Source organism: Homo sapiens, chromosome 9, assembly GCF_000001405.40.
Source record: "Homo sapiens chromosome 9, GRCh38.p14 Primary Assembly".
NCBI lineage: Eukaryota > Metazoa > Chordata > Mammalia > Primates > Hominidae > Homo > Homo sapiens.
This window is the reverse complement of record NC_000009.12, coordinates 91,027,833-91,037,042: the sequence shown is the minus strand read 5'-3', so window position 1 is coordinate 91,037,042 and position 9,210 is coordinate 91,027,833. Positions and strand designations below refer to the sequence as shown.

The following is a 9,210-nucleotide window of genomic DNA, read 5'->3' as shown; positions in this document are numbered from 1 at the left end:
GGGAGCTGTGTCTGGAAGGACAAATGTCTGACCTTTGCTGGCTCCCGGGGCCGCCCGCTGGCCCACATCGCACATGTGTATAAACCTCTCAAAGGCCTCTTCCCAGGAGACTTCCCCTCTGCTGGACACAGCCAGGTATCGGGGGCTGTGAGCCGAACCTGGTGAGCCGAGCACTACGGCTGTGTAAAAATACAGTTGCTTCCACGGAAGCCCTGCAGTACCCTCTCCACGGACTCTTCACCCATGCTAACTGGTGGTGGATGTGATCCTCAAACAATTTAAACGTGGTTTGAATTTTGCCTCACTCTTATTCAGAAGGCCGTGCTGGCATTTCTGGAAATGGTGTGAGTGAGATGGGCGAGGGGGCTGGCCTGCACTCTCATGAGCGGGCGGCTGAGCATGGTGCTCTGAAGGGCATCTTCCTGAGCCTGGGTGGCTAGGGGTGATGGGGCAGGAGGAGGAGGGCTTGATATTGTGGCTGGTGGTCCCTGTAGTCTCACAGGTGCCTTCAGTGGAAGGGAATGTTGGCCCACGTGGCTGAGGCATGGTGAATCGGGGAGCGGTGGCTGGTCTGCTGGACAAGCAGGTGCTGCCAGGCTGTGACGGCATCAAGAAGTCCAGGGTTTATTTGCTCCTGTGGGACCTGAGGCATCCAAAGCTGCCCTGAACTGCCCACCTCCTGCATTGCTCTAACAACTCGCGCCCAGCCCCCAGGAGGGGAGGGCAGAAGGCAGCCCTGCTCTGAAACAGGGGTTTCAGGGGATAGTGAGGATAGTGGGGGCAACAGTATCAGGAGACTATCCTGAGGAATTAGTTTCTGAGTAAAAAGAAAAATAGAATATGTATTCTTTCTCTCCCGTCCACACCTGTCTTTGCTCAGGACAGAAAACAGGTAGAACCTGTCATTTTGGAGCCTGTACCTCACCGTAAACAAATACATTAGCATTACGGTTTTATGCCTCGTCTCTTGTGATGGGCAGGGGGACCTGGGCCCATCTGCTGTTGGCCATGTGGGACAGACTCCGTCCTCCAGGCCTGGGGGCCACACCTGCTGGACTATGGCCGTGCCTCCCTCGGGTCCAGCTGGAAGTGGCTTCGGGGCAGCTACGGTTCTACATGCCAGAGAGCCCTTGTGTGTATTTGATGGCCAAACCTTTCAGGTTTTTCTTGTGCGTTTGTGATGTTGGGGTGGGTTTAGGAGTAGATTATACAGCAGGCAGGAGGAAGTTATTTTTTACAGTCAGCAGAGGCCGAAAACTGTTTTGTTTTGCAAAACAACCCCAGGCGCTATTTTGGTTGAGGAAAGATGGTTTCAAAAGTAAAATTGTGAGACGAGAAGCTAACTTCTTCCACTTGTGGAACATCCTGTGTCAGGCATGAGAAAGGCAAGAGGGGCCCATGAGCTGAAGAGGTGGCCCAGAATGTTTCTGTGGCCAGGCAGCGGCGGAGGGCTTTTAGGGACAGGTGCCTGCTGGCCAACTCTTAGGGTGGCTGGGACATGCAGGGTGCTGTCCTGTGGCTTCCAGATGTTCTGCAAAAGTCTGGGACATATGACTGTCCTTGTGGGAGGATGCCCGGAGGAGTTTTGTTTAGTGAGCGGCATGCCATATTTGGGTTGCCAATTTGAAGACAGAAGAAGACAGCCCTGGGAGATGGGAGGCTTGAGGGCCTGAGAGGCACCTGTCCTTGAGCTTCTGCCCCTCAGGAAGACAGCACAGGGCTGTTAACTGTCACAGAGGCCCGGGTTTCCCACGTGCTGGGCTGTTATTTTCACAGCACCCAGCAAGAAAGTGTCAGCGGCTGGCTGGGTGCGGTGGCTCATGCCTGTAATCCTAGCACTTTGGGAGCCCCAGGCAGGCAGATAACCTGAGGTCAGGAGTTCAAGACTAGTGTGGCCAACACGGCGAAACCCCATCTCTACTAAAAATACAAACATTAGCCAGGTGTGGTAGTGTGCACCCATAGACCCAGCTACTTGAGAGGCTGAGGCACGAGCGTTGCTTGAACCTGGGAGGCGGAGGTTGCAGTGAGCTGAGATCACGCCGCTGCACTCCAGTCTGGGTGACAGAGTGAGACTCCATCTCAAAAAAAAATTTATAATAATAAAAAAGAAAGTGTCAGAGGCTGCTTTTTGCAGAGGAGGAAACTGAGAATGTGGGAGGCTCCCTGAGTCACTTGACCACCTGGGCAGGTAGGAGGATCAGATTCAGGATCAGAGGAAGGCTGGTTTAATGTTTCAGTAGCTTATTTTGCTTCTGGACATGATCACGTGCATGCAGTCTGTGATAAACACTGCGTCCTTGGTGAGTGAGGAAGAAGGAAGGACACCTGCTTGTGACTGAACAACGAGTGGCCTACATGTCTGTGGTGCTAACCCAAGCTGGTGGGAAAGCTGAAGCTGCTCCTGTGTCCCCAGGCAACTGCGTCTGTCCAGCACTGGCAAGGCTGGGGAGTGGAGGCCGGGGAAGAGGAACGACGGAGGTTCTCAGCGCGCTTCCCCAGATGCTCCCACCAGCATCTGGGTCTGCAGCAAGGAAAGATGGTTCTCCAGGGCCCACTGCAAAGTCCCTGTAAATCTCTCTCTTTTTTTTTTTTTTTTTTTTTGGGATGGAGTCTCGCTCTGTCACCCAGGCTGGAGTGCAGTGGCACGAGCTTGGCTCACTGCAACCTCCTCCACCCAGGTTCAAGTCATTCTCCTGCCTCAGCTTCCCAAGTAGCTGGGACTACAGGTGTGCACCATCAAGACCAGCTAATTTTTGTATTTTTAGTAGATACGAGGTTTCACCCTGTTGGCCAGGCTGGTCCTGAATTCCTGACCTCAAGTGATCCACCCACCTTGTCCTCCCAAAGTGTTGGGATTACAGGTGTAAGCCACCACACCTGGTCAAAGTCTTTGTAAATCTCAAGAGCCTCTGGAGGCCCCGCTACCTCTCAGCTGACAGCACTGAGGGGGTGGTTACTGAGGAACTCACTTGGAAGGCCCTGGACCCATATGTGCTCACACCTGCCTGCAAACCACCTCCAGATAATAATAGCAAACCTCTCTTTGCTCACATCTTTAGGCTGGATCAGCAGCGCCTCCTGTTGGTGGGCACTAGCTTGGCGCATATGAAGAGGGCCAGGAGAGGCAGGTCTGGCTTGCCAGGCAGTGGGGCCACTGCAGGGTGTTGGCCATGCCCAGTTTATAACAGATGAGGCAGAGATGGAGCAGTTCAGCTGCCCTGGGCCTCCTTTGTAGTGGTGTCAGGACAATCTGCTCTTCCCAGGGACACATTCATGCTGTAGACCAGGGGTCGGCAAATCTTTTTTACAAAGGGCCAGATAGAAAATAGTTGTCTTGGCCAACCAGCTGACCAGATAGTTCCTGTCGCATATTCCTTAAAAAAAAAAATAAACAAAGCTGTAACAACCATTCTTAGCTGACTGGCCACACACACTCAGGCCAAGGGTTGGGTTTAGCCAGTGGCTATTGTTTGCCGCCTCCTGATTCGGGCCTTTATCCTGGTTGTGGTTCAGGTGGGCCAGCCTGGGAGCCCTTCCATCTGCTTCCCTCTGCTCTGCCATGCCGAGGCCAGAGAGGATGCACATTTGTCTTTCCTCACTAGCTTCTTGTGGGCATCTTGAGGCCAGGGCCTCTGGGATGTGCAGGTAACTCCAGGGATGACCTTTCGCACCTCCTGGAGTGTGCAGTGTTCCCGTGACAGCTGCACCCAGATGCCCTACTCAGTTGCCTGAGTGTCTCCTCCATGGACAGGCAATGGTCTTTTCTACTTTTATAGTCAAAACTTAAAAAGTGAGTATTAGTTTTAGAGATGGAACTAAGTGAGTGCTGCTAAAAAAGAAGGTCATTTTCCTTTTATCTTTGCACATAAGTCCATTCAAATTGCAAGTAAATGCATGCTTGTGGGTGAACAAGAGTGAATTTGGAGTCTATTATGACAATCTGTGAAGGGATCATAAAAAGAATAATTAGAATGTCAGCTCATAGGGGGCCCCCTGTTTTCCAGCCTTTTGAGACTTAGTAATGCAATAATTGTATCGTAGGGCTGGACATGGTGGCTCATGCCTGTAAGCCTAGCATTTTGGGAGGCCAAGGCGGGCAGATGACTTGAGGTCAAGAGTTTGAGGCCAGACTGGCCAATGTGGTGAAACCCCGTCTCTATTGAAAATACAAAAATTAGCCGGACGTGGTGGTGCATGCCTGTAGTCCCAGCTACTTGGGAGGCTGAGGCAGGAGAATGACTTGAACCTGGGAGGTAGAGGTTGCAGTGAGCCAAGATCGCACCACTGCACTCCAGCCTGGGCAACAGAGTGAAATCTCATCTCAATTAAAAAACAAAATTGTACTGTGTATCCACTCCAGGCTGGCCCTGGGGTGGGTGTTGGGGAACCCACCATATAGAGATGTTAGAGCTCCTATACTCCAGGCAGTAAAAACCATCTTGAGAAAAGGCAGCTAATGACCCCAGGCTGCAAGTGACCACAGCCCCAGGTGAGCAGGCATGAGAGTGAACAACCTGAACACCGCTCCATGAAGAGGGATCCCCTTTGAGGTTGCATCAGTTATGAGGCTCCAGGAAAGTATAGACCTGGAAAAACCACAGACTGCAGCACATTCTCAAGCCTGGAACTGCTCCAGGAAGAATCTGCCACTGGTTGTCCAGCAAGATGCAATGCTAACACTGAAGCTGTGTCGGGCTGTGCTTCCCTTCAGCAGAAGGACAGCTTTCTCTTTCCCTCCCAACCTGCTGACATCTTTTAAGTACCTCTAGTGATGTGATTGAGGACTGGGCTGCAGTCGTCGGTATCAAGGACTCCTAGGTGTTTGCCTGAGCTGCCCCACGCAGCCTCCTCTGCTTGTTGGCTGTCCTGATTCTCTAAAGGGAAGAGGCTGCTGTCCTGGCACGAGCCACCGCTGGCTGTAATGCAGGCTGAGTCTCACCAGCTTGGTGAAAGCGACCACAGGGAGTTGGTACTTCAGTCATCTTGGCTACAGGGCAAATAGAGAAGGAAAGGAAAGAAAATGTGTGAACCTGGGTTGCTTACTTAACTTCTTGGATTGCGTGTCTCATCTGCAACATGGGTAAATAAAACCTAGTCTAGAGGGTAGGTAATGCATGAAAGTGCTGAGCATGGGGCCTGGGTGGTGACCACCACCAGGATATGCAGTCCTGTGTGCATACAAAACCTGCAATTGGTCAAGAGTCTGGTTCCTGTGGTGTAGATGGAGCAAACACTACTGCTCAACACCAGGCTGAGCCGCAGGGAGCCTCTGGGGCCTGCAGGTGTAGGGTGGGAGGCTGCGGGCTGGCAGAATCCTTCAAGCACTGAGGCAAGTTAAGAGGAGCTGGGAAAACCCAGCAGTGAACTGGGAGCCAAAGGACTCCTGGAAAGGGAAGTCTTAGGTTGGTGTAAAAGTAATCGCGGTTGGCCATTACTTTTTAAAAAAATGGCAAAAACTGCATTACTTTTGTACCAACCTAATAGTACTTTTTGAGAATCTGTCAAATATTGGCTTTATCCTCATCTTGCACATCATCGGTACCCCCAGGGTGATGTGGCAAAGAGACATCACAGAGGCAAAGAAGAGTGAGAATGTGTGCACTATCTCTATAGCTCTGGCAGTGCCGGGTGACATTCCCATGTGGAGAAGCAGCCCACGGGTGTGTCTGCTGAGAGCGCGTGTGTGCTTCTGCACATTCACCCAATACACAAACGTCCACACACAGTGTTAGTCCACTTGTGTTGCTACAAAGGCATACCTGAGGCTGGGCAATTGATGAAGAAAAGAGGCAAACTCCACACACAGTCTTAGTCTACTTGTATTGCTACAAAGGCATACCTGAGGCTGAGCAATGGATAAAGAAAAGAGGTTTGTGTGGCTTGTAGTTCTGCAAGCTGTACGAGAAGTATGGTGCTGACATTTGCTTCAGAGGAGGACCTCAGGCTGCTTCCATGCATGGTGGAAGCGGAATGGGAGCTGGTGTGTGCAGAGATCACATGGCTAGGGAGGAAGCCAAAGAAGGGGAGGTAGTGCCAGGCTTTTTTTCTTAAAACACCCACCTTTCTCTGGAACTAATACAGCAAGAAGTCACTCACCTCCAATGGAGAGCATTAATCTACTCACGAGGAGTCTGACCCCCTGACCCAAACACCTCCCACTGGGCTCCACCCTAACATTGGGGATCAAATTTCAACATGAGCTTTATTTATCTTATTTGTTTATTTATCTATTTAAGACAGAGTCTCACTCGATTGCCAGGCTGGAGTGCAGTGGCATGATCTCAGCTCACTGCAACCTCTGTCTCCTGGGTTCAAGCAATTCTCCTACCTCAGCATCCCAAGTAGCTGGGACTATAGGCACCTGCTACTATGCCCAGTTAATGTTTTTTGTATTCTTAGTGGAGATGGGGTTTCACCATGTTGGCCAGGCTGGTCTCGAACTCCTGACCTCAAGTTATCTGCCCGCTTTGGCCTCCCAAAGTGCTGGGATTACAGGCGAGAGCTACCCCGCCTGGCCTAACATGAGCTTTAGAGGGCACGGATACCCAAACTGCAGCACATACACGTGGCTTTCCACTGAGGTCTGCGACTAGATGGTGCTTGGGGTTTTTAGCTGCCTGAGGTTCCTCTTTATTTTAATGTCCACACAAAATAACTTGAATGTGTGTTTTAAAAATGACCTAAGCCAGCTTAGTCTTTCAAAGTTATTTGTGTTTTTTTTTCATTGTTAGTATCAATAGCTGGAGCTTGGTAAGGCTTACAGTACCTCCTGACATCCTCACAACCGGTTGTGAAGCAAGTCTCAGACCGGATTCTGTCCCACAAGCACACCATCTACAGAGCATGGAAAGTTCATCCAAGACAAACAGGACTGGAATCATTTAATGGGGTCAGACAACCCTGGACGCTCCAGACCAGGGCCTGGGAGTCACCCGGGACAACATTCATGGGCATTCAGGCCACTGGAGTCACAGCACTCTTATGTTCTACGCATGCAAATGAGAGACTGCTGCCATCGCATTTCTAGCCAATTTACATCTCTTAAATACAATTTCGCATGTCTGACCTCATGCATGAAAATGATGTGCTCACATCTATTTTACTAATCTCAAAGCCACCAGTGTGGATCTGCCACAGGGAGAGCTGACGCCCTCACGGAAGCTGCCTCTGGAGGGAGCAGAGGCTGTTGCTCTCCCAACAGGACAGCGGTGGCCCCCGGGGCTGGAAGTATTTAGAGCGTATTCCAGACCAGGCGACAGTCCTATCGCATAAGACGCATAAGACGGAAAGTCCTGCCCTTGCCCCAGGGTGCCTGAGGATGTGGGGAGAGTCTGCATACCCTGACACTGTTTTCCTGCTCTCATCCGAGACACAGCCGACATCCTGGCTGTTCACCTCTTTCTCCTGCAGCTGCACTTCAGGCTGCCAAGCTCTCTGAGAAATGATCCTTCAGGTATGGTGTGGTCTGTCTGTTGATTCCCCAAAGCCTGAAACTCAAGAAGTGGGGGTTTGTTTACCTGATGCTATTGAACATTTGTATCAAGGAAAATTTCAGTGTAAACAAACAAACAACAAAAGCAAATATAAAACGGAGCCCAGCTCTCCATCCTAGTAAGGTCCACTGGACGTGTGCCAGCACACAGAGCCTTTAGGGGCCTGGGCCTCCTCTCCTCTCCTCCTAGACCTGGCCAGCACAGACCAGCTCAGCATGTTTACACACCCTTCCTCCAAACCCTCTTTTCCTCAAGTTCCAGCTTCTTCCAGTGGAGAGAATTGAAAATCCATTGACATGAAAAAGTTCGCCCCTCAGAGCTGGACTCACCTGTAAGGACACAGCCTTGTATTTTTCCACAGAATAATTACAGTGTTCCATCTTGAATTTGAGTCGATCCTCCAATGGTGGGGCAGCCCCCTGTGGGTGATACATGGTCACATTGAATCCTCCCTGGGTCTCCAAATGCCTCTCTCAGAAGGACAATGTCGACATCTACCCTCAGGACCACAGGAAGGAAAGTTCTGGTAATTTTAGAGTGACCATTTTGACTTAGAGTCAACCTCCGATGTTCAGAAACGTTGAGGCTCAGTCTCAAAATAAATAAGACACATTCAGTTAGAGCCATGCGGCATCATGCCCCACAATGCCGGGAGTCCCTTTGTGGTTGACTTCTCTTCTGGGCCCAGCTGCCCATTCTCAAATGGGAGAAGAGGAAGCATCTTCTCATGATGGGGATGGTGGGCAATAGGAGGCTGCTGTAGTGATCCTAGAGCTGCTGTGCAGCGAGAACTGTGGATCTTAGTGCCTTATCTCTCGTGGTCTCTGCTGGGCAGGAATTTGGGAAGGGCTCAGCTGGGCGGTCTGACTCAGGGCCTTCCAAGTGGTTCCAGCTGGAGCTGTATGGGAGCGGGATGGAGCAGCTGGGGGCCAGCCAGGCATCTCTACATATAGCCTCAAGGCCGCTCAGTGTGGTCTTTCCACATGGACGCATTTGGGCTTCCTCTCAGCATGGCGGCTTCAGGGAAGCCAGAAAGCTACTAACAGCCAGGCAGAAGCCATGTTGTCCTCAATGACTGGCCTCAGAAGTCCACAGCAGTCTTCACCAGAGCCACCAGCCATCTCTTTAAGGCAGAAGTATCAAAATCACATTGTCAAAAGAGCATGCGGGAGATGTTGTGGCCAGGTGGGAAAATTCCATTTGCCTTAGTGGGGAAACAGCAGGCAGCCCTTCCCAAGAGGTGGGGAGGAAGGGGAGTCCCTGTGTTCTTGGTATTTTGGCCTAATGTCCCCAGAGCAGTTTGACAAAGTAGGCATCAACTAGTCAATATGTCTCCAGAATTTTGGCACCATCTTTGATGTCTCAGAACTGTCCCCACTACCTCCAAGTGGCACTGCACCACCTCCAGGCTTGTGTCAGATTCAGCTCAAGCATCTTCAGAACCCCCAGGTGTTAACTGTCCCTGCTCACCCCAAATATTTAATCCGCTTTGCTACAACACTGGCCCATATTACATCACTGAGGTTTCTGGAACACACTCGTTGTATGATGGAGGGTTTTCCTGAAACATTTTTTTTTTTTTTTGGCAGAGTCTCCCTCTGTCGCCCAGGCTGGAGTGCAGTGGTGTGATCTCAGCTCACTGCAACCTCTGCCTCCCGGGTTCAAGCAATTCTCCTGCCTCAGCCTCCCGAGTAGCTGGGACTACACGCTGCCA

General features: G+C 51.0%; 4 annotated features.

Moving 5' to 3' along the window:
• Positions 1,157–1,206: an enhancer, noted in NCBI's record as "active region_28582". NCBI's record gives its function as "activates an Ori minimal core promoter by ATAC-STARR-seq in GM12878 lymphoblastoid cells {active_cell/tissue: GM12878}" and the evidence as "EXISTENCE:reporter gene assay evidence [ECO:0000049][PMID:35858748]".
• Positions 1,217–1,266: an enhancer, noted in NCBI's record as "active region_28581". NCBI's record gives its function as "activates an Ori minimal core promoter by ATAC-STARR-seq in GM12878 lymphoblastoid cells {active_cell/tissue: GM12878}" and the evidence as "EXISTENCE:reporter gene assay evidence [ECO:0000049][PMID:35858748]".
• Positions 1,377–1,636: an enhancer, noted in NCBI's record as "active region_28580". NCBI's record gives its function as "activates an Ori minimal core promoter by ATAC-STARR-seq in GM12878 lymphoblastoid cells {active_cell/tissue: GM12878}" and the evidence as "EXISTENCE:reporter gene assay evidence [ECO:0000049][PMID:35858748]".
• Positions 2,952–3,021: an enhancer, noted in NCBI's record as "active region_28579". NCBI's record gives its function as "activates an Ori minimal core promoter by ATAC-STARR-seq in GM12878 lymphoblastoid cells {active_cell/tissue: GM12878}" and the evidence as "EXISTENCE:reporter gene assay evidence [ECO:0000049][PMID:35858748]".